This window comes from Homo sapiens, chromosome X, assembly GCF_000001405.40.
Source record: "Homo sapiens chromosome X, GRCh38.p14 Primary Assembly".
NCBI lineage: Eukaryota > Metazoa > Chordata > Mammalia > Primates > Hominidae > Homo > Homo sapiens.
Window position 1 is genome coordinate 152,182,545 of NC_000023.11, and position 26,198 is coordinate 152,208,742.

A 26,198-nucleotide genomic window follows, 5' to 3' on the forward strand; every position below is an offset into this window, starting at 1 on the left:
TATATATACACTATATATATACTATATATGCATATATAGTGTATATACACACTATATATACTATATATGCATATATAGTATATATACACTATATATACACTATATATACATATATAGTGTATATATACACTATATATACACTATATATGTATATATAGTGTATATATACATATATAGGTATAGTGTATATATACACTATATATACACTATATAGTGTATATATAGTATATATATACAGTATATATATACTATATATGTATATATTTACACCATATATATACATATATATAGTATATAAATACTATAGTATATATACTATAGTACTATATATAGTGTATATATATATAGTGTATACATATATACTTTAAGAAGTTCTGGGGAATGATTCTTTTAATGTACTGTTAACTTTGGTTTGCTAGAATTTTGTTGAGGATTTTTACATCTATTTTGTTCATCAGGGATATTGGCCTGCAATTTTCTTTTCTTGTAGTGTATTTGCCTGTCTTTGGTATGAAGGTAATGCTGGCCATATAAAATGAGTTTGGAAGTATTCCCTTTTCAATTTTTTGGAAGAATTTGAGAATGATTGGTATTAGTTCTTCTTTAAGTGCTCGGTAGAATTCAACAGTGAAGACATCAGGTCCTGGGCTTTTCTTTGATGGGAGACTTTTTGTTACTGATTCAGCTCCTTATTCATTATTGGTCTGTTCAGATATTCCATTTCCTCATGATTCAGTCTTAGCAGGTGATGTATGTCTAGGAATTTATCTATTATTTCTAGATTATCAGTTTGTTGGCATACAATTGTTTATAGTAATCTGTTATGATTCTTTGTTTTTCTGTGATAACAGTTGTTAACATCTCCTGTTTCATTTTTTATTTTTTGTATTTGAGTCTTCTCTCCTTTTTCTTAGTCTAAAGGTTTGTCTATTTTGTTTATCTTTTGAAAAAAAAACACATCTTAGTTTTAATGATCTTTTCTATTGATTTTTAAGTTCCCTATTTCATGTATTTCTGCTCTGATCTTTAGTCTTTGCTTCTTTCTAGTAACTTTGGGCTTAGTTCTTCTTTTTCTAAGTTCCTCAAGGCATAAAGTTAGATTGCTTATTTGAGATCTTTATTCTTTTTTGATGTAGGTGTTTATTGCTATAACCTTCCTTCTTCTTAGAACTGCTTTGGCTGCAACTCATAAGTTTTGGTACACTGTAGGTCTATTTTTGTCTCAAGATATTTTAAATTTCCCTTTTAATTTCTCCTTTGACTTATTGGTTGTTCAGGAGAATGTTGTTTAATTTTCATGTATTTGTGAATTTTCCAAAATCATTCTCTTTATTGCTTTCTAGTTTCATACTATTGTGGTTGGGAAAGATACTCGATATAATTTTTCTTTTTAAGTTTGGATGAACTTCCTGGTTTTATCCCTAGATCTCTTACCTTTCCTTTCACATTCTTTTTTTTCTGCTCTACTTATAGACTGATTTCCTTTAATTTATTTTCCTACTTCTCTATTGAAATTTTTATTTTGGCAATTCTTTTTATTTTCAATACCTCTTCCTTATTCTCTGATTTATTTTTATATAGCATCCTGTTCTTATTTTATTAATATATTTACAAATCTAAAGTAAAAGTCTTGTTTTTCTTACGTTCTCTTTAATTCCCTAAATTATGTCTGTCCCCTCAAGGTGAGGTGTTCCTTTTTAGTTTATTTGCCTGTTTTTGTTTTAATCTTTGCTCTTCTCTTTCACATTGCAAACTTTTAACTGGTGATCCTTGATATCCCAGTATTATTTGGTAACAGAGAAGATGTCTGTTTGCTCATGTAGCTAACCTGAGCTTGTTGATTGGTGGGCTGTGATTTAGGATGATTAGGTAAAGTAGGTCATTTTGAGGGGATACTTCAAAATGTCAGTATGCAAAAACTTTCCTCTAGGGATGCTCAGCTTCTTTAGAAGAGCAACCCTGCTGTTTTTTCCTGGAGAGTATACATCTGGCTAGAGACATTTCACATATTGAGCAGGCTCTGGAGTCTGGAGTACTCTGTACACAGACTTTTGTTTTATTCTCTATTGTATCTAGCGCTTCCTAACACTGAATTTCTCCCGGGTTATGTTTTACTGCAGTTCGATAAATCAGTTATTATAACCTCCATCAATGTTCATTCTTCTATAGCTATGTTAATATCTCTTGTCTGACTGACATCCCTTGTCCTTCTCACCTGTTACTTGTGGTTTTATACCTGTTTTATTCCTTTACTCTCATTTTAGCGGAATCTTCAAAGGAAGCAGTGATAAAAACATGTGGTTGATCATCAAAAACCCACAGTTCATCTATTGTCTAGAGTGCAATTACAGGGTAGTCAGTTATCTTCATTTAAAAATGAGGTTTTATTTCTGTATCTTCTTTTTTTCCTTTCTAATGTTTCCTCTCACATTTTATCTAATGCCTGATCATAATACAGATCAAAAATAAATCTTAAAATCAGTTATATTATTTTAAAACTGTTTTATGCTCACCCATTCCAGCTTTAGGAAGCAAAAAGGTTTAATATGTCTCCCTAATGGAAGAAAAAAGAAACTAAGTTATTATTAAATTCTAATATTTTCCCTTCCAATGCACTTCAAATTTTTTTCTGTTGATCTCACTATTAGTTGCTCCGTATTGTAGCGGTGCAGACAAAGCAGAGCACCTGTACATTAGAGATCCATTTTTCTGCATTCCATCTTTTTTTCAATTCTCATAATATGCTTCTTGAGATAACTTAAATGGACTGACCATAGAGACTAAAGAGGAAGACTGAGATCACTATCTTTGCAAAATAGTTTTATAATATTCTTTTTGTTCTCTCTATTTAAAATTTTAGCACTTTTTAAATGGAGAAATGGTCATCATTTCTGATGTCTAGCTCTAGAGTTTCTAACAATCTATTTAAGTCCTCTCTCTGTCTTCAAACCACTTCCACTCCTCTTACTGGCCATAAAAAAAAATCTGTCTCATTTTTTATAAAACATCATGGAAGCCTTGCAGCTATCTAAAAATAGCAATAATCATCCCCCTGAGGCATTTGTCCCTCCTCTACTGTAGTAACCAAACTGGAACAGTGTACTCTAAACACGGGCCAACCAGTACATAATAAAAAGGGCTTATCCTCTCACTAGTTCTAGGTGATTCTTAACTTAGACCCAAATCAAATAGGGCTTATGCTCTCACTAGTTCTAGGTGATTCTTAACTCAGACCCAAATCAAATTGAGCTTTTCCAGAGTTGTAGCACAAAGTAGGCGTACATTAGATTTGCATTTTCTTCATATCCTAGCATTTTATTTTCAATGTTTAATTGTTAAGCTTTTTTAATCCCAGGTCTATTTTTTTGTACCTATGTGTAAGAATCTGTATTTGATTTAGCAAATGTTAATATTTTAATTTAAGCTTGTCCTTTCAAATTTAGAAATCCTCTTTGATTCCTAATTCAGAAAATACTCATTCCCCAACCAATATTCATTAATACCAGCTTATAAATTTGAGTCTTCTACCCTATATGTCTTCATCTGAGTCATTAATAACAACATTTGAAAAAGCAGGGTCAAAGACAAAGTCCTGTAGTGTAACCCCAGGGACCTCCATTCAGTTTGGTGTCTGTCAGTCCATCAGTCAATTTATTTAATTGTTTATTTATTTATTTATTTATTTATTTAGAGACCGAGTCTCTGTCTGTTGCCCAGGCTGGAGTGCAGTGGTGCAATCTCGACTCACTGCAACCTCCACCTCCCAGGTTCAAGTGATTCTCCCGTCTCAGCCTCCCAAGTAGCATGCTACCGTGCCCAGCTAATTTTTTGTATTTTTGTAGAGATGGGGTTCCGCCATGTTGGCCAGGCTGGTCTTGAACTCCAGACCTCAAGTGATCTGCCTGCTTTGGCCTCCCAAACTGTCGGGATTACAGGTGTGAGCCATCGCCTTCAGCGCCATCAGTTAATTCTATTTGATTTGAATTGGTCAACCAACTACATCAGCCTAATTGTACTATTTTTTTTTTGCCTCCCTCCCTTCCTTCCTTCCTTTATCTCTCTCTCTCTCTCTTCTCTCTCTCTTCTTTTTTTTATTTGACAGCGTCTTACTCTGTCACCCAGGCTGGAGTGCAGTGGTGCGACCTTGGCTCACTGCAGTCCGAACTTCCCAAGCTCAGATGAACCTCCCACCTCACCCTCCTGACTAGTTGGGACTACAGGCATATGCACCCATGCCCAGATAATTATTAATTTTTTTTGTAGAGACGGGATTTTACCATGTTGCCCAGGCTGGTCTCAAATTCCTGAGCTAAAGCAGTCTGCCCGCTTCGTGAGCCACCACATCCAGCCTGCTTCCTTTTCTTCAAGGAGGTATAATTTTTTAAAAGTTAGTCAAATATTTTATTAAAATCTATGACATTTTCTGGTCCACTAGTCCAATAAACTGTTGACAAATGCTCATGAGGTTAGATAATTTCTCATTAGTGAACTCAAGCTGTATATCACTGATTGCTGCTAACTGCTCCTAAAATATCTATCTGTTTAATAATGTATTTTAGGGAACTTCCAGTTTAATATGTCAGAGTAAGGATACCTTTGTTCACTTTTCCTCTCTGCAACCAACCAAAAACAGTAAGATGAGAAATAAAAACCAGAACTCTATCTTTGGTGAAACTTAACAGCTTTTATAACCTTAATCCCAAGAAGTAAGGGCTCGGAAGTGAAGTGAAAGTGAAGCGCAGTGAAAATCAGATCAGGGTGAAGATGACACTGAGGATACCTGCTGCTCTAGATTTCAGGTCAAGGATAGTGTCCCAAAAGTGTGTGGCATGACCTGACAAAGGAAAGAAACAATCCCTGTTTTGAAATAAAATCAGTTTTCAAACTGGTAATGAGAACATCCTGGAACTCTGACTACCACATAGTGGCAGAGGAGACAGAGACTGCAAAATTAAAGAATATAATACTATACACGCATACACATGCACAAGCACATACACAAACACACACAGAGACATGCACACAGACACCTGTATCAACATAGAGGGATTTCCTGTGAACAAGGGAAAGTTCTTACTAGTCAGAAGTAGAATCACAACTACAAGGAAGACTACTCATAAGAGATTATATAGACAACAAGTGATGCTCAAACTACTCTACTACTCATTCTCAGCTACTCATTACTATCCTGCTAACTCTCTCAGTTACTCCCCCAATGATATTTCCATACATAACAAGAGTAGTAAAAATTTCTCTAATGCAACTTCAAGTAAGAATTGAAGACAAACTATCATGCGATTAACACAAACTTTGTTACAAAAGGAAGAAAATGACCTATTGAGTATTGTAATAAATGTCTTAATGGAGTCATCAGAAAAAGAGAATGTGACCCATGGATTGTACAATAGCTCAACTATTATTTAAGTATAAACACAATAGACAATGATTTTATACATTCAAAACAGAAGGAAATATGGTTCCCATGAGACCATCTTAAAGAAACTTATAGAAGATAGCTACACACACTGGGGCCTTTGGGAAGGTGGGGGGAAGAAGGAGGGAGAGGATCATTAAAAATAACTCATGAATACTAGGTTTAATATCTGGGTGATAAAATAATCTGTACAGCATACAGCCAACCCCCATGACACAAGTTTACCTATATAACAAACCTGCACTTGTACCCCTGAACTTAAAAAAAGGAATTGATGTAAATATACAATGAATAGAAATGATAGATAAAAGGACGATTTTAAGAAAAGAACCCATTTAAATGTAGAACTATGACTAAACAATTATAGGATTTACAGTTGCATGGGAGGATGTAAGTGTTATAAAATGTAATAAGGGAGCAATAGTAGTATAGCAAACAGAAATTAGGAGATGATAGGAACTGGTAGAGAGAAGGAGAGGTAGGAGTGGGCATGTACTGATTTCCTTATATTCTTCCTGGGTGGGGGGCTAACAGACCCTGTTCCTAGCTGATAAACCAAGTTATAGAGGAATAAATATATTTTAAGGGTACAAAAGTAACAACTAGATTAAGCACAATAAAACCAAGCAAAAAATCCTATGGTAGAGTAGATTAAGGAAGTAGAACTACACTTATCTCTTCATAATTTATAGCAAGGAGTTAATAAATTTTATCTAAATAGTTAAAAATTGTTCAAAAATTTTGCCAACTCACCAATCTATACTCTATGCAATACATATTTTCTCCTAATTTGAAAAATCATTATCGTTTCTCTTCTCCATGATTATTTGAGGAGTACCAGGATGGTCCTGAGATCACATTTGCCAGTTCCTCTTAGCATATTTTGATAATCTTCATCTAGTTCTAGCGACCTGAACTTATTTAAAGCAGCCAGGGACAACAATCTTAATTTCACTGTATTCATGTTTTATTCCTATCAATTTAGTTGGTTTAATGATTTTAATCTCTCTTCTTCCTTCCCATCAATGCACCAATCCAATCAACATTTATTCAGCTTTTACTGTGAGTCAGATGCTAGGCAAGGATGTTGGCTAGCTAGAAATAAGAGGCAGACAAGCTCTTGCCCTCAAAATGTTCACAGTCTAGTGAGAGGAAGACAAAAACTAATATGAATAAATTATTTTAATATCAGGAGCACCCATGCCTCAATCAAAGATAAATCTGTGAATGATTCCAGAAAGGCTCTATGGAGAAAGTAGCATTTCAGTTGGGACTTGAAGAATGAGTAGGTCTTTAACAGGCATGGGAAAAAACAAAGAGCATTCCAGGTACAGAAAGCAAAATAAGCAGACACAGAAAGAAAGATGATCATTTTGTTTTGACTGTAATTTGAATATACTGGGAAGAGGGGCAGAGATGGCCTTAGAGATTGTACTCTGGGTTGAAGATAGAGTCCAAGCCTTTGAGTGACTTTGTAAGTACCAATGGGTGCCCCTTGAGTCTAGCAGCATCACATTTAGGTTTGATCCTTCACCACAAGACATCAACCCTCCATGATACCTGCCCTCTTTTCTTTGCCCTCAGACAACATGCCAGGTTGCCAAGAAGCACTCCAGTTGAGAACTGGATTGATGACCCCAGTGCATAGCACATAGCCCTGCCCAGTTCTTGCAGGCTATAGGCTGCCCACTCCTGGTCCCAATACAGGTCTCTCGGGGGTGCTTCTCAGTTTCTCTTTTGCTATATCTCACCTTCATCTCCAGGGCCTCTGGCACCTTCTTGCCTTCCCAAGCCCAACTCCGCTTGGTGAAATAGTTGACAGTGGCAAATTCAATCAGTGCAGAAAATACAAAGGCATAACAGACGGCTATGAACCAGTCCATGGCCGTCGCATATGCCACTTTAGGTAAGGAATTTCTGGCACTGATACTCAAGGTGGTCATGGTAAGCACAGTGGTGACACCTGAGGAGAGGAAAGATGAGAACCAGTTGCAACTGGAAGACATTGAGAGCTTATTCGATGAAATCACTAATTTCCTATTTGAAAGGAGAAGCTTTACCCCACTCAAAATGGCCCTTTTAAAATAAAATAAAATTTTAAAAAAACACTGGACTATCAAATCTGATGGGTCCACCTAGTAACCAGCCCATCCCAATTGGCAGAAGACTATATAGGCATCTGCAATGGATTACATTTAATTGTTGTCCTCTAGCTTCTGCTTAAACATTTCCATTAAAGAGCAGGTAGTCCATTTCATTGTAAGAGAGCATTTTAATTAGAAAAAAAAAAACTAGCTCACGAACTGAAATCTGGCTTCTTCTAGCTACTGGTCCACAGACCGATCTTGGAGTGTCTTCTGTAGCCATGCAAGGGAAAAAAAATCTGCTCCTTACTCTCCAGAACAGACCTTCAGAGACCTAAAAAGGGTGATGGCTCCTTGCGAAACTGCTCATCTTCAGAATGAACATGGAGATTCAAGTTCACCTCATGAACTCCTTTTCTTGTTTACTTCCTTCCCTAACCTATTTTTTTTTCTTTTTTCTTTTTTTTTCTTTTCTGAATAGCCCAGAACTGAGCCCAAGACTCAGGACATGGTCGGAATTCAGTAAGATGCTTACTTCCTTAATTTTGGACAGTCTTCTGATAATGCAGCAAACTATCGTGGAAAGTGGTTCTGTAGCTGCGTCACACACTAGGTCCCTATTGGGCTTTGTGAACGATGAAAACTATTCCGAAATCTGTTTCTTGTGAGTTTTTGCCAAATCCAAGCTTGTCTTTAGACCAATTGATTCTTTTTTGGGGGGAGTGTTATTCTAAATTCAAGGCTTTATTTACATTTAAATTATATTTTACATTTTTTCTAATCTTTTCATATTTTAGATATGCATGTGAATATATATATATATATAATATAAAATTGTGATTAACGGTATAAGCTTTAGAGTCAGAATGAACTAGGCTGAAAACTGAGCAACCTCACCTACTAGTAATATGACCTTGAATAAGGTGTTTTACCCCAGAGAGCCTCAGTTTATCATGTGTAAAAGGGGGGTAATAACACCAGATAATACAGAGATTTGTTAGGGATTGAAGATTATGTATATATATACACATATACATAAAGTCTATAGTATAATACCTGACACAGAGTAATCATTCCATAAATAGTAGCTTCTATAATTAACATGACTATTGTCTTTACTGTTGTTAGAACAATAGTGTTGTCATACTATATAATTATAATAGTATAAGTATAATCAATGTTAACAACAATATTATCATAATAATTTTACAATTGCTAGTGATGTTTTTCTAGTCTCAATGAGTACTACACTAGAAGTTAGATGTTCTGAGTGCTCCCACTTACTTGATTTATATCTTAGGCAATTTCTTTATTCTCTCTGTGCCTCCATTTTGCCCATCTATGAATATTCCCTACTGTCTCTGTCCCCCAGGATTTTGATAAAGCAGTAGATGTACAAAGTCATTCAAACTTGAGGAAGGGGAAATGGTCAGAATGTCTTTCTTAGCGTTGGCATGCTGAAGAGGATGGAGAAAGTGAGCCTCCTTAGCCTGGGTCAAGTGGGGCATGGAATGAATTTCTAATGAGGTGAAAGAGGCTATATGCGAAATCAAGCAGAGAAGGCACTGTGTCCATTAACTTTACCCAGAGGGTCAGCCATGTGTGCTGAAGCCTCTGGGGCTTCCTTTTCTATCTTGGTCTGCCGTAGTACCTTACTTATATATTTGCTATATAAATGAAAATCCAGACTGCAAAAGACTCCGTACAATTTCAACAGAAATACCCTAAAGGAGTACCTTTGCACCAACTAGGCAGGGAGTCATCAAGGCTGATTAGCCGAAACACATTTTACGCCATGTGAGGAATCTGCCACATAGCTAATACTTATTAACAAACTCTCTGAATCTGTAACCTGGTAATCTCTGACAATGGATCCAGGCCTTGAAAACCTTCAGATCATACCAACCAAGTAGTTACTTAATGGGAGAAACAAGCTACTTTATTAATGGTTATTAGCAAATGCAGTTGTCCACTCTGACACATTCATAGCAGTGTGCTGCTAGTGCTTAGATGGAGAGAACTGTATTGCAACATAAGTGTTTCTGTGCCATATCTCAGTAGAGATTTTTGGAGCTCTAGTCTCTAGGGCTTAATTAAAACTGTCAACTTTTTGAAAGCTCTTAGCTAGTCAGAGCTGGTAGGGCCCTCAATCAAGCCTTTGGTACGCTTCATGGATGGACAAAGAGATTCTTGGCATTTTAAAAGATATTCAGCCTGTCACCAGTGCTTCTCTTTCAAGACTAGAAAACATTTCTGAAAAGGCTTAGGTAGAACTGACTGTCCTCCCTCGTCTCCTTTGAGCACTTCTAGTGCACTTACGTGATGACATGTGTCTCTTATACCAAACCACATCTGTGATGAGTGGAAAGGACTTTAATTCTCAGGCACAGCCAAGTAGCCCACTGTACCACATTTGTTCCTATCAGAGTTAATAATGTTCTTTTCTTACGGTAATTATTAAATATATTATTATTATTATTAATGTAGCTCTTATTGTCTTCTTTTCTCCAACACTGCTAACTGTTTTGTGCCTTATACAGAGTTAAGCCCTAAAGATAAAAAATTTAGATATTTCAGACCACAGCATTCAAAATGAGCACCCATTCTCCCTCCCCTTAGGAGATAATCAGAATTAATCACATTTCATATATCTGTTTACCTCAGACACTACCACAAGGGCAAGGATATTTGTTAATTCACTTTCAGTCAGGCTTAATTCTGTTTTACAAAGTCCTATCTGACCTTATCACCCATATACTTATGAACCCTTTATCGCAAACTCTTCTTACTGCCCAACTCTGCTACTGTATAACTGGTGAGTCCACCTATTTTCTCAACCTCTTCTCTGAATGCATAACCCCCTTTTGGTCTTAACTGAAACCTGACTCTCCTCTTGAATACACTGTTTTGGTTCTCAAAATGTGGTTGATAATTCAGAATCAAGAGCTCAAGAAGTGCAATCCATATTTTCTTTGATGTCTAGCGCTTCTTAGACCATTACCGGATCACAGTGTTGTTGTAACCTGAGCTCTTTTGAGACATCTACCATCTGGTGATACCCCTTTCTGCCCTTTCTCATAAGTATCATCTATAGAATATTCCCATCTCCCCAAAGATTCCTTTGTGCCCATGCCATCCCCTCCTTGGTCTTAGGTAACCACTGATGTGCTTTCATTTTCTATGGATTAGATTTTTCTCTTAGAGTTTCGTATAAATATTTTACAGTATGTACTCACTTGTGTCTGGCTTCCTCCACTCAGCATATTTTTAGGTTCATTCATGTTGTTGCATCTATCTATGGCTCGTTCCTGTTAATTTCACAGCAGCATTCCATTGTATTGATATTACCTAATTTGTTTATTCATTCACCCAGTAATGGGTATCTGGATTGTTTCCAGTGTTCAACTATTGTGAATAAAGATACTGGGATGATTTACATATAAGTCTGGGTGAGTATATGCTTTCATTTCTCTTGGTTAATACCTAAAGAATGGAACTACAAGATTATATAGTAAGCATATATTTAACTTTATATGGCATTGCCAAACTGTTTTCTAAAGTAATTTTACCATTTAACATTCCCAGTAGATTTATGAGAGTTTCAGTCAGCATGCATCCTTGACTTAAGAAATAAAATATAATATAATAACTTTAGGCCGGGCGTGGTGGCTCCCGCCTGGAATCCCAGCCCTTTGGGAGGCTGAGGCGGGTGGATCACAAGGTCAGGAGTTTGAGACCAGCCTGGCCAACATGGTGAAACCCCATCTCAACTAAAAATACAAAAATTAACTAGGCATGGTGGCACACGCCTGTAGTCCCAGCTACTCGGGAGGCTGAGGCAGGAGAATTGCTTGAATCCAGGAGGCAGAGGTTGCAATGAGCCGAGATAGCACCACTGCACTCCAGCCTGGGCAACAGGGTGAGACCCGCCTCAAAAAATAAAATAAAATAAATAACGTTAATTGATACTTTAACACTTTTCTCTGACAGTGAAAGTCCTTGGAACATTTTATCTCCATATACCCCCATCTCAACAGATATATATTACATTATGTTCTAGTATTTTATTCTAAATGTATTGTTTAACCAATAAGCCACTGTTACCATTTCATACATTCAGTGCTTATTTTAGCCATTCTAGTATTTAAAGTGATGTCTCCATGAGGTTTTAGTTTACATTTCCCTAATTTAAAAAAAGATGATGTTAAGGATCCTTTTACATGATTATGGGCATTTGTATATATTCTTCGGTGAAATATCTGTTTACATCTTTTGCCCATTTTAAAAATTGGATTCTTTGTCCTTTTATTATTGAATTTTAGGAGCTTTTTATATTTTCAGAATATATAAATATTTCAAAATATTTTTTTAGGTCTGCACAGATATAGTGTGCTTTATCTCAGGATATGGTTTGCCATTTCATTATCTTAATGTTATCCTTTGATGAGCAGAAATTTTTAATTTTGATGAAGTCCAATTTATTAGTTCTTTTCCTTATTGTTATTATGTTTTTGTGAACTAAGGAATTTCTGTCTACCAAAGGGTGCACAGATATTGCCTTATATTTTCTTCTAAGATAATCATATTTTTAACTTTTATACTTAAATCCATGATCAATCTCAAATTAATTCTCTGCAGTGCCATCTTTATCATAAATCAAGTTTCCATATATATGGCTGTATTTTAGGCTTTCTTATTTTCTTTAAAAATCTTTTGAGACAGGGTCTCACTCTGTCACCCAGGCTGGAGTGCAGTGGCATGATCATGGCTCATGGCAGCCTCAACCTCCCAGGCCCAAGCAATCCTCTCACCTCAGCCTCCCAAGTATCTGGGACCACAGGGATGTGCCACCACGTCTGGCTAATTAAAAAGAAAAAATTTAAGAAGAGGTCTCCCTATGTTTCCCAGGCTGGTCTTGAACTCCTAGGCTCAAGCAGTACTCCCATTTCAGCCTCTTAAAGTGCTGGGATTACAGGCATGAGCTGCCACTCCCGGTCTGTCTACTTTGTTCTTTTTTAGAAGGATATATTGGCTATTCTTGCTTTTTTTCTTACATAAACAATTCTGCAATCATTTTTTATATAAACATTTTAACATGCAGGTTCTCACATCAATGCAATTAATGTAAATATAAATTCTAAATTAATGTGAGGCCAAGTTTGAATTAGCAAATGAATTATCAAGGAATCTCATATTTCACACAAAGCCCAGGCCAAAAAAAACATGCTTCTTTATTGTCTCTCTGCACTAGTAAGTGTATTTTTCTAGTACTCCCTTGCATTGAAAGCGTAACTGTTCAATGATATTGAATTCATGGGAAGTGTCCTTGTATTAATTTCCTTTGGTTTATGTAACAAATTATCAAAAATTTAGTTGCCTAAAACAATTAAATGCCTTCTTACAATTCTTGATGCTAGAAGGCTGAAATTAGTTTCACTGGTCCAGTGTCAAGGTGTCAGCAGGGTTGCACTCCCTCTGGAGGCTCTAAAGGAATAATCTATTACCTTTTTCAGCTTCTAGAGCTGTATGACGGATTCCTTCACTCATGATCCCCTTCCTCTTTCTTCAAATCCGACAGCAGAGCATGTTCAAATCTTTCCTCCTTCTGTCATCACATTGCTTTCTCCTCCATAGTCAAATCTCCTTCTGCCTGATTCTTATAAGGATACTGTGATTGCATTTAGGCCCCATTCCAGATAATTCAGAATAATCTCTCCATCTCAAGATCTTTTATTTAATCACAACTACAAAGTTATTTTTGCTGTATAGGTCACACTCCCAAGTTCCAGGGACTAGAATATGGGTATCTTTGGGGACCGTTATTCTGCCTACCACAATCTTAGTTGTAAATGCCTTTCTTTAAAAAGTCAAACTCTTGTTTACCAAGACCAGGAGTCCATCTGCTTATCTTCCTGCCATAACAGTACAGTTAATGGGATTGACACTCAATTTTCAGTTTCTTCTTTCATTTGGGCCCCTGTGTATTTCCTTTAATTTCTTTTAAGCTCACGTTAAGACATTAGCTTAAAAGAATGGTTTCGGCCGGGTGCTGTGGCTCACACCTGTAATCCCAGCACTTTGGGAGGCTGAGATGGGCGGATCATCTAAAAAGTCAGGAGTTGGAGACCAGCCTGGCCAACATGTTGAAACCCTGTCTCTACTAAAAATACAAAAAAAAAAAAAAAATAGCCAGGCGTGGTGGTGGGTGCCTGTAATCCCAGCTACTCGGGAGGCTGAGGCAGGAGAATCGCTTGAACCTGAGAGGCGGGGGGTTGCAGTGAGCCGAGAACGCTCTATTGAACTCCAGCCTGGGCAACAAGAGTGAAACTCCGTCTCAAAAAAAAAGAAAAAAAAAAAAAGAAAGAAAGAAAGGAAGGAAGGAAGGAAGAAGGAAGGAAAAATGAAAAAGAATGGTTTCTATGTTTTATCTAGCTTTTCTAGGATTTTATAAAGGAAGCTTTTTCAGGGTATCTAGTTTGTTACATTTCCCAAAGTGAGCATATTTAACCCACTCTCATACAGCTTCTGCTCCCTCCACTTCACTAGAACTGTTCTTCTCAAGATCCCTAACAGCCAAGTATATCACAATACCCAACAGACAGTTTCTGTCTGCATCTCATGTAAACTCAGTACAGTTCAACCCACATGAGTATTCTCTGCTTCTTGAAATACTCTCCTCACATGACTTCCATGATATCACATCCTTTTGATTATTCTTTCTTTTTCCTACTTTACAGGTCACTATTTCTCTTTCTCCACTGCTATCTCCTACAATACCTGACCTACAATGCTACTTCTTCCAAAACATAATTTACTTTTTATTTCACTTCCCAGTAAAACTTCAGGATATTGGTAGAAACACCTTCTGTGTGGATACCAAGTACACTCAAGTATATGCCTCAAAGGTATCATTGCCATGGAGGCCAGTTTAGTAGCTGAAAAAATTAATATTTATCTCCGACAGTGGGAAAAATAGGCAGGAAATGTTTTGTATGTTTTAAGTCTGTGAGGAAAAAGTGCTAATGATATGCAAATGTCTTCCTAGACATCAGTATACTCATGATGAAGAAAATGGCTTTGATCGTGGGTACTATTAAGAAATCCTTTAAACTGTGTGTGGCCTTTACACAATATCAGATAACTCATACTTTCAAAAAGGCTAGAGAAGAAGCCACAAAGTCAAACGCTCATACAAAAAAAGCAGATCTTAACAAAGCCCCCAATCCAATACTCTGTTCAGACAGCTTGGTTTCTAACCCTTTAACTTCTCCACTCTATGCACTAAATTCCTCTCTTTTTTACTAAAGGATAATTCCCTCTCCAGCTTTTGGGGCAAGCAGGACTGAAATGGGAAGCATTTCAGTATCTTACTGGTCCAACAGTCTTCTTATTCTAACTTCCTCCTTGAGAATTCAGTCGTCTAAAACCCCATGGTCTGATGATTCAGTTACTCCTGCTAGGCACAGGAATTTCTCCCATTCTCTCCAGGAGCCATTCTTCCACCTTTCTCACCTCCACTGTGACTCTGCATGATAAGACTTTCCCCTACGCTCCATAAATTATCACTCACCAAAGACTGTACGGGCAGGAACAGACTCTCTGTTGAGCCAGAACGACACTTGTGACAGAATGACAGTCATGATACATGGCAAGTAGGTCTGGATCACAAAGTAGCCAATTTTTCGCTTGAGATGGAAGTGGGTTGTCATGACGACATATTCTCCTAAAGAGAGAGTAAAATTAGGCAGTATGTAGCTACATAAACATTGCTAAATCAAGTTGGGCCCCAATTCAATTCACAAAGCTCTTTAATCTTATATTCAATATTCCAGCATCTCCCAAGTTCATATAACTAGAGCCCTTTAATAATCACAAAATAGTGTGTTTTTTGTGTGTGTGTGAAAAAACAATGCTATCAGTGTACCAATACAGCTTGCTCGGAACAATTTTGACACAATTCATTCAAGTAAATTAATGTTCTCATTTAAATAATAATAAAATAAAAATCTCTTCTACAGCACTTGCTATGTGATAGGCACTCATTTAGCACTTTAACATTATAAAATATTTAATCTTCACAGGAGCCCTATGAGGTAGGTACTATTGTTATCCTCATTTTATAGCTCAAGAAACTGAGGCAAGGAGAGATGGAGCAACTTGCATAAGGTTACACAGCTAGTAATTAGTAAAGCCCAAAGTCAAGCCCAGGTAGGTTGTCCACAGTTTATGCTTTTTAACCATTATGCTCCGCTGTTCTAATGTACTTACTTGGTTAGACCCAAAAGTTCACATAGCAGAATGTGGACTGACCTACGTTATCCCACTCCTAAAATAAGAGTGAGCACTTACTGCGCTTTTACTGTGTGCCAAAATATTTTCTGAGTGTTTGTGGATTGTTAACTTTATATCCTCCTAACAGTTCTGTGAGATAGGTACTAATAATTACCCCATATTGCTAAATGTATTAGTCAATTCTCCCTCTTACTGGATTTGTCAGCAGCATTTTATGCAGTTGATCCTTCTTCCCTCTTGTAATCACTCTCTTCACAGACCCTCTAGGCCATGATGCTTTTCTGGTTTCTCTCCTACTTCACAGACCATTCCTCCTAAGTCTCCTTTCCTGTTCCTTTTAATTTCTAAACACTGGAGGATGTCAAAGCTCTGTACTTGCACTTCTTTTTTCTGTCTCACTCAGACGCTGGCAATTCTCATCCAGCCTGTGTCTTTAATACCTTAAACTCTAATAACTCCCCAATGTATAACTTCTACCTGGGCTTCCTACTTGTTATGGGTTGAATTGTGTCCCTCAAAAAGATATGCTGAAGCCTTAGCCCCTGTTACCACAGACTGTGGCCTTGTTTGGAAATAGTGTTATTGCAGATGTAGTTAGTTAAGATGAGGTCATGCCGTACTGGAGTAGGGTGGGCCCCTCATCCAACACGACTAGTGTCCTTAGAAGAGAGCACCATGTGAAAACACAGACACACAGGGAGAAGGATACGTAAAAAGCAGGCAGAGGGCTGGGTGCGGTGGCTCAAGCCTGCCTGTAATCCCAGCACTTTGGGAGGCCAAGGCGGGCAGATTACGAGGTCAGGAGATCGAGACCATCCTGGCTAACATGGTGAAACCCCATCTCTACTAAAAATACAAAATATTAGCCGGGTGTGGTGGCGGGCACCTGTAGTCCCAGATACTAGGGAGGCTGAGGCAGGAGAATGGCGTGAACCCAGGAGGCGGAGCTGGCAGTGAGCCAAGGTCGTGCCACTGCACTCCAGCCTGGGCAACAGGCGAGACTCTGTCTCAAAAAAAAAAAAATAAAAAAAGCAAAAAACAAGCAGAGGTTGGAGTGGTGCAGCTGCAAGCCAAGGAATGCCAAAGATTACAGCCACCACCAGAAACTAGGGAGAGGCAAGGGACAGATTTTTCCCCTCAGAATCTCGAAAGAACTAACCTTCTTGATGCTTTGATTTGAGACTTCTAGCCTTAACTGTGAGACACATTTCTGTTAAGTTGCACAGTTTGTGGTACTTTATTATAGGAGCCTTAAGATTCTCTACTCAACTCTAAGATTTATATATTAGACATCACTACTTGGGGATCTAATAGGCATCTTGACTTAACATGAAAAATCAAGATTTTGGTTTTCACTCTCCCCATCCCCAACACCCATTCAAAATGGCTCCCCCAAGAGACTTTCCACTGACTTCTCAACCCCACCGTGTTCTGTTGCTCTCTCTCTCACTTGCTCTCCTTCCCTCCCTCCTTTCTGTCTCACATTTACACACACACACATAACACACACAAAATCAATCAATCAGCCAACTCTTCCAGTTCTTTCTCCAAAATATTTCCATAATTTGACCACTTCTCACCACTTCTACTGCTACCACCCTGGTCTAAGCCACCATCATGTCTCACCTAGAGTACTATAATAGCTTTCTAACTGGTCTCCTTGCTCTGTCCTTGACTCCTCTTCAATGCATTCATAGTACAGCTGCCAGAAATCATCTTATTAAAACGTAAGTCAGATCTTGTCTGTCTTCTGTTCAAAACTATCCAATGGTTTACCATCTCTCAAAGAGTAAAAGCCAGATTCCCCAAAATAGTCCCCAAAGACCCTTGCGATATGCCTGCTCTAATAGCACTCTTATCAGAGCTTCTTATTTTTCACCTCTCTTCCTCCACCCACATTTGGTTTTGGCAGGATTCCCAAGTGAGGCAATTTCCCACTTTTCTACTCTACCCACTCCCTTGTACCTAAACCTAGGAAGCACCATCTGGTCATCCAAGGCTCAATATACAACCCTTATTGAATATGTATTCACATCTTAGCTTGTTTATGTGAACACAAAAAATACAAGTAGGCTTATTTTTAATTTAGCAAATTGAAAATTACAACTTTGGAGTTCCCATCTCTTTTCTTTCTCTCTGCTTCTTTTTTTCAATTCTTTTCTTTCTTTGTTTTATCTTCTGTCTGTGTGCATCTCTACTTCTTTCCGTCCTTTCCCTTTCCTTCACTCTCTCCCCACTGAGAAGGCATTGGGGATTTGTTTTTCATGAGAGTTGGACTTTGATGAGCTTATGCAATTCTCCCTCTTTACCATCTCACATTTCCAAACGCTACCTATTAATCCTATCTCTGATCATGTGAAATATTTAATATATAAAAGATGTAATAAATATTCATAAATTAATTACATTCTGTGGATCTAAAAGGCAAAGCAAATGGACTTTTCAAAAGAGTACCAAATTAACCATTTGTTTTGAATAACTGACTCAAAATGGTTGAACACATTGATTTTCCTCAATCCTCTCCTTTTCTATACTTCTTTCTTTCTCATTCTGTCTTGTTGTCTGTCTTCTGAAGAGGTGAAAGGAATTCTCTTTAGTAAGAACTGACACCTAGGTTGCGAAGATTTCCCTGGTTTCTGTCCTTGTATTGGAGGCTATCCGGGTCCAGTGTGAAATTGTCAAAGGGACAATGGAAAGACACTTTTGTATATTCACGAGTATTCACAACTTAGATCATTTCTATGGGTGGAACTTACAAGTGGACTTTTAGAAAGCTTAGCAAATTAATTTATTATGTCAATTAACTTAATCAGTTTTCTTAAACACAACTCTGATATTTTCCATCTCTATATATCTTCTTCTCTGCCAAAGAGAGAACTGAAACTTTAATCAAATTGGAAGATTTTCACAATTCCCTCCATCCCACCTCCACCCTTTTGTCCCAGCTTATTAAGCTCATTATGTACCACCTGTGTTGTGTGTGTTGTATATGAAATATTCAAGGGTACAATATAAAACACACAATGCATATGTATTCATAAATTAGTTATTATCTATGTATCAGAAACGCAGAACAGTTTAGCTAAATAATGTTTTACGTAACTGACTATATTTTCCTGAAGTGGATTTGTTAGATTCTCTCCCTCCTTGCCCCTATTGCTGTGTCTCTCTGTCTTTCTTATTATGAAGGATGGCCCTTTAAGTGATTTGGGGGAATTTTCTCCTGCCTTTGCACTTCAGCCTATTAAACTCCATCTGTGTTAAATATGAAATATTTGATAATAGAATGTAAAACACATTCACAACTTAGCTAGTTTCTAAGGTTTTGAAACACACAGAGGATTTTTTAGCTTGGCAAATTAAGTCATCATAAAAAAGTAAGTGGATATATTTTCTTAAATCTATCTTGGGTATTTTTCCCTCTCTCTATCTCTACTCCTTGTTCTTTATCTTGCCTCCTGTTTTCTTTTTATCTCCATCTCTCTGATTTTTCTTTATGTCCTGTTTTATGCCTTATCTTTACTTACCTATGCTACACATCTAAAGAAATAATATATACAATGACAATAATAATAAAACTGTCATTCTAACAAATGATCAAATTTCTAGGAAAGATGGATATATAAGGATCATACATCCAAACTATCCTTTTAGAAAATTAATGTAATAATTCGCCAAATTAGGGAAAACAGGGGATGGTGTCAACAACTAGCCACAGACTTTGAGGAATTTCATTCATTTATTTAATACATGTTTGAATCTGGAGCAAAGAGCAGACGGCCTCTGCATGAAGCTAGTTCATACTGAGGACTGACAGCATTTGGAGAGAAAGCCAGCCATACCAATCAGAACATCCACGGATTGTGGGTCCTTTCTCTGGCCCAGATTTCCATTCATATTCTAGACCCTACATGGAAGAGTGTATGAAGAATTTAGAAAGGAATGCCCATAATTTATGGTCACAATAAAAACAATACATATATATGTAAGGTAATAATGTTTATATGGTTCCTAAATCAATAGGTATAAAAGTGTGTGCAGCAAAATGTCTCCCTCCCACATCTGCCCCAAATTACCCATTTCACATCTCCTTCCTTTAGGTAACTACAATTAACAGCCTCTTGTGTATCTTCCTAGAAAGATTATGTGTGTGTGTGTATATATACACAGTTTGAAAACACGTATCTTCGATAATTAAAATAATGTGATACATATAAAGAATAGAGAGACAACAATGAAAAAGAATAATAAATATAGACACACATTTATGCGTTTGTATGTGTATGTATGTGCACACATGTGAATTTACTATATGATAAAAGAAGCATCTCATATCAATGAGGAAACACTCGATTATTCACTCGTGGATACTGGTACATTTGGTTACCTCATAGAGCAAAACCAAAAATAAAACTCCAGATTATATTCGAGATGTAAATTTTAAAAATGGAAATAATGCAGCTCCTAAAAAATGTAGGTAAAAAGTTGGAAAGATGTCCAATTCATATAGCAGACTGAGCAGCAACATTTACCTCCTCTTTCTCTTAAGACTTCATCAAGTACCAGTGAAGACAGTAAAATAGAATAAACCCATAAGAAAGAAAACAACAGGAAAGAATGAATGAAAGAGCTCAAGAGAATTTTGGAATTCAGAAAGTGCTGATGGAGAAAGCAGGCCTCAGTGTAGATGAGAAGCAGCAGAGGGAGCTCAGCTTACAAGGGAGGTCCCTGCTGGCAATGCCCAGAGAGGACACAGACCTGGAGGCTGCAGGGACAAAGGGAGAGGGTCTCAAGAATGGGAATGGAAAATAGGGACATTTCCTGCAGATCTGAACTTGGAAAAGTTACAAGCCCTACTTCCATAGGCACAATGACTGTATCAGTGTGTTTACTCTCCCAGTCAAAAGAAAGATAATCTGAGTGCCTTTATCTAAAATACTCTGAAGGGTCTTTCTACAGAAAACTAGGGAAATTTAAGTGGGTGGTAGGCCCTTAAACAAGAAATGCAATCCCAACAAAAGATAGTATTCATACAGTCATAGTAATACAAATGTCCCTTGCTGGTTTTGAGCTTTTTAAATCAATCTATAGAGAAAGTATTGAAAGCTTAATTAGGGGTATATAACAGTATTAGTTTTCTATTTATTGGTACTTTATCAAATTACCCCACACTTGTTGGCTTCAAACAGCACGAATTTATACTCTTATACTTCCGAAGGTCAGAAGTCTAAAATGGGTCTCACTGTGCTAAAATCAGGATGTAGGTGGGGCTGCCTTCACTTCTGGTGACTCTAGGGAAGAATAGGTTTTCTCGCCTTTTTGGCTTCTCTGGGTAGTCCACATTTCTGGGCTTGTGGCCCCATTTGTCATCTTTCAAGCCAGCTGTAAAATATCTTCTACTCATTTTCTTTTTGACTCTGGTCTTCCTGCCTCTCCTTTATAAGGACTCTCATGGTTACATTATGCCCACTTGAATAATCCAGAATAATCTATTTTGAAATCAGCTGATTAGGCACCTTAATCCCCCCTTTCCATGTAACCTAACATGTTCACAGGTTCTACGGAATAGAATGTGGACATCTTTGGGGGGCCGCTATTCTCCCTACCGCAAGAACTGAGTGTATATTTTAATCCGTTTTTACAATGAAAGCAAACTTTTAGTTGGCAGAAGTTGGAAGAAAGAAGGTGAGGATATGAGGACAGAAGGGTTGATAGATCAATAAATATAGCTAACTATTTGATCCAGCTATCAATACTAGGAGGAAAGGAGAGGTAGGGGCAATGGAAGTGAGATAAGCACTCAATACCTTAGAGTAGGGAATCAATATTTCATCTCTAAAGGTGAAAAATGGCAGTATAAGCACATTATTTAGAACTATGGAGGGAACCATCAGAAGTAAAACATAAGTGGTTAAAATGGGAACTGCTCCTTTTCAGTATATACCTGTTATTTGATTTTTAAATTTTCTTTTCTTTCCTCCTTCCCTCCCTCCCTGCCTTTCTTCCTGCCTTCCTTCTTTCCTTACATCCTCCTTCCTTCTAGATGCAAAGTAGAAAGGGAGTGATCCATGTAGTTATTATGTTTATAGACTCTGGAGCAAGTTTGCTGCCTTGTTTCCAAATCTTGCTCTACCACTTACCAACTGTGTGACCCTGAGAAAATTATTTAATCTGTCTGAGCCTCGATTTCCTTATCTATAAACCTCAGATAATACCACCACCCACCTCAAACTGTTGTTCAAGGGTTAAGTGAGTTAATACATGCCCTCAGGGAAATGCTTTGCACATATTACATGCTCAAAAATTGATCATTAGTAATTCTACCACTAAACCCATATATTACTTTGATAAACAGTAAGAAAACAAGAATGACAATATCTTGTTGCATTATTTTCCTAGGGCTGCCATAACAAAGTACTACACCCTGGATGGGTTAAAACAAAACAAATGTATTCTTTCACAGTTCTGGAGGCTGGAAGTCTGATACTGAGGTGTCAGCAGAGCTACACTCCCTCTGAAAATTGTAGGGAAATCCTTCCTTGCCTCTTCTTAGTTTCAAATTGTTTTCTCACAATCTTTGCTGTTTCTCAACTTATAGAAGCATCGCCCCAATCTCTGCCTTCATATTCACATGGTGTTCTCCATGTGCACGCACGCGTGTGTGTGTGTCTCTATGTTCAAATTTCCCCTTTTTATAAGGACACCAGTCAAATTGGATTAGGGCCCACTCCACTGCAGTATGACCTTATCTTAACTAATTACATCTGCAGTGACCCTGTTTCCAAATAAGGTCACATTTTGCAGTACTGGGGATTAGGACTTAAACATATCTTTTCAGGGGACACAATTCAACCCATGATACCTGTGTTGGCAAGAGTGAGGGGAAATTGGCTTGCTCATCACTGATAATAGGAGTGTGAATTGTTTAACCTTTCAGAACAGCAGTTTGTCAATATGTATCAATTTTTTTTAATGTGTCTACTTTCTGAAATAGCAATCTCAATATCCTGTCTGTATCTTAGGCGGATACTTAAACAGGAGCAAAATGCTATAGGGAAAAGAAGGGTCTTTACAGTGTTGTTTATAGCATTAAAACACAGAATATAATAGTGGATGATTGTTTAAATAGATTGTGATCCATCTATATGAGGACATTACCAAAAAAGAGATACTATTTTACTGAGTTTCACAATGAAATGCTACACTTCCTAGTGACAACAGGGATTATCATCATTGTCAACTATGCTCTGGCCTGACAGGAAGGCTTTTCACTTTTTTTTAAGTAACCAAAACAAGTAATAATAAATGTGTGGTGTGTTCATTCTAATTGCTAACATATTTTACTAAATCTTGTGTACATTTTACCTGGATTATGTGCATTTAGTGACATGAAAACACATTTATAATATAAAATTAAATAAAAATCAGCTTATAAAAAAGTATCAATACTATGGCCCCATTTACATAAAAACATATTTATACAGAAAATGCAAAGGGAACCGTCTTAAATACTGAATGTAAAACAATCAGTTAATGTACCGAAATCTTCTAAGATATTTCTAGAAAGTGGAAACAAAAAGAATTTTAATTTCCAACATTTGCTCCTCCATGTATTTCTAATTTTCCTGTTATGAACGTGTATCTTCTGTGTGCTAAAGATGACACCAACCGCGGTTTACCAAAATGAAGTGGGAGTGGGGTCTGATTGGGCAGCCAAGGATTGGTCTCAAGAGTTGATGCCAGGTGGGCAGTGCCCAGGACAGACGGGGAGGTGAGGGGAGTGAACAGATACAGGGACTTCTCTTGCTTGCTCACTCTGAGGAGGAAATCCCTGCAGCAGCAAGGGTGGGCCTTCAGCCTCTAGGGCCCAGCTGTGCAGTGCACCACTTTGGGCCACGTGATGCTGCAGCCTCAGCCTCCTCCTGGGGCCCCCTCTTTTCCCTTAAGTTGGGGTGGGGAAGGGAGGGGAAACCAGGCAGTGGCATTGGTGGTGGCACCTCTTGAAGCAGGAGGCCGGCTTCTCTGCTCACACATGTAAGGGGTCCAGTGGAGACGTGAGGGGACAGGAGGGTGTGTGAAACCTGCAAATGGCTCCTCTCCCTCCTTGCTTGCATAGTCCCGGGATCAGGGCTCTAAAGAGGCTGGCAGTACCTGTGCAGCCAGTGCAGGAAAAGTATGTCAATGCCCCTGCTTCACCTTCAGCACAGTGAGCCAGGGACGGGTCCCTGTCTGGCTCTGCCCACACTCCCAGTGCTCTGAGCCCTGGCCACGCAGTGGCCCAGGTAGCCAATGCACGATGGCCAGGAGCGCTCCTGGGACACAGGGACAGGGCCCAGGTGGCCCAGACACTCCCACCACCGGCTACCTCTACTGCTTCTGCCAAAGCCAGGCACTTGACCCCAGCAGCAATGCTCACCCACTGGAAGGAGGGAATTCTTCAGATTAGGGCCAGCCACACCTTGCCTGCCTGTGCCACTTGGACTGGTCCAGCCGGAGGCCTGCCATACATGACGCCAGGACCCCACAGAACAGCCCACCCACCCCTGCAGCCCTACACTCCTTATCTCTTCTGCATCTTACTCTGAACAGCTTTCAGCTTCCCTAACAGGCCATGCTCTCTCATACTTCTGGACTTTCGACATCTCAGTATTGCCTTTGTCAAGAATAGCCTTTCCCCACACTAATTCTAGATCTCTAAATCCTGTTTGTCCTTCAATTCCATTTCAAATGTTGATTTTTTTAGGCACCCTCCCCTGATTCTGAGGTGGAGGGAAAACAGGGGGCAGAGGAGATGACAGACTGTGATATCACAAGAGGGAACAGTGTATGTCTAGATAATGAGATAAAAGGACATGTATAATTGTGGATTCACAGAGACAAGTGTTGCTTGAAAATTAACGTTGAAAGCTTCTATCATTTCATAGCAAAAAAAATATTATGTGATATGTGGGCCCCAGCATATACTCCATTTTGACGAACATTCTAAGGTTAGTTGAGATCCAGAATATATCGTCCCTCAGGCCCCTTGAACTGCTCAGGGGCCATTTCCAAATGGACAGACTTAAGGCCACAGAACAAAACTCTAGTTTCATTTGTCAATATCCAAGAGTTAGCCATTGATAAAACCTAGCAGGTTTTGCCAACCAAGCTTTTTTCTGAGTTACGTGATCCCCTTAAGAAAATAATTCCATGGCTACTCCCTGGGCATCCTGGCTGTGTGCTTGACCTTTTCTGGGATTAGTTAATGTGCCACCTCAGCACAGGCTGAGTTAAGCAATTATTTTAATGAAATCTTTAGGAACAAAGCTCAGCTCTTCCCCCACCATGGCCTTCATCTGCTTTCTCTTCTCATACTCTAGCCCTAATGCCCTTCACCTTCTGCACCACTCTTCAAGAGGCAGCAGGCAATCGTGGTTAAGAGGATGGTCTTGGGAGCCAATCTGACAAGTGTTCATTTTCGTTTTGCCATTGCATAACTGTGACAAGGAGCAAATTACTGAACTTTTATATACTCAGTTTTCTCATGATAATACTATCTTTGTCACAACATTGTTTTGAAGATTAAGTAAGTTATAAGCACTTAGAACAGTGACTGGCATGTGGTATAGGTTACAGAAATGTTTGTTAAATAAAATAAGTTAAATACCTGTACTAGACCGGATTATCTCTGTCCCAACAACATGGCCCAAAAGGTCATACTGGTTCAAGCGAGAACCATCCTGTGCCACTTCCACGGATTTGTTCTTTCCGAGAGTCCAAGAATAAACCACTTCAGCTGTTGTATAGGCATCTAAGGCAGAGAAGGGTCAATAAAGAGAAGTTGAAGGAAATGGAGAATGATTACCCTTGATACTAAACTCAAATGAGATCGAAATAAAACTTCCATCTTCAAAGAGTTCTGGGTATGTGGTCTGTCTTCAACTGAAGTCCATCCATCCGTCCATCCATCCATCCATCCATACAATAAACTCTCATTGAACAGCTACTGTAGTATATGCTGTGTACATAGAAATGAACCCAAAGTGTTCTCATACTTCAATGACTGTCTTCTAGACTGCCAATAAACTTTTTCTTCTGTTGGACAGTAGACAGTAGGGGCAGGGGGAGGAATGGCTAAAATATTATCTCATGTAGATGTCACAGACTCAAATGCCTACAGGAGCCATAGAGGTTGACAAAATTTGGATATTCGACCCCTCCAATTCTTATGTTAAAATGCAAACCCCAGTGTTGGAAGTGGGGTGCAGTGGGAGGTGTTTGAGTCATGGAGGCAGATTCCTCACAAATGGCTTGGTGACACCCCCCTCCAGTAATGAGTGAATTCTTGCTGTATTAGTTCACAGGCTATCTGATTGTTTTCAACGAGCCTTGCACCGCCTTCTCTCTTT

The 26,198-nt window shown here is 38.3% G+C and overlaps 1 protein-coding gene across 2 annotated transcripts in view; it reads right to left on the reverse strand.

Annotated features, from left to right (window-relative positions):
* Window positions 1–26,198, reverse strand: part of GABRA3 (gamma-aminobutyric acid type A receptor subunit alpha3) — a 285,082-nt gene that overhangs the window by 16,311 nt on the left and 242,573 nt on the right. The window contains exons 7-9 of one of the 2 annotated variants that reach the window (NM_000808.4): window positions 25,457–25,600; window positions 15,089–15,241; window positions 7,186–7,397 (exon numbers count right to left, since the gene is read on the reverse strand). In NM_000808.4, coding sequence (NP_000799.1) covers window positions 7,186–7,397; window positions 15,089–15,241; window positions 25,457–25,600 — 509 coding nt within the window. The remainder of the gene's footprint in view (window positions 1–7,185; window positions 7,398–15,088; window positions 15,242–25,456; window positions 25,601–26,198) is intronic. The other variant, XM_006724811.4, reaches the window with a different exon arrangement.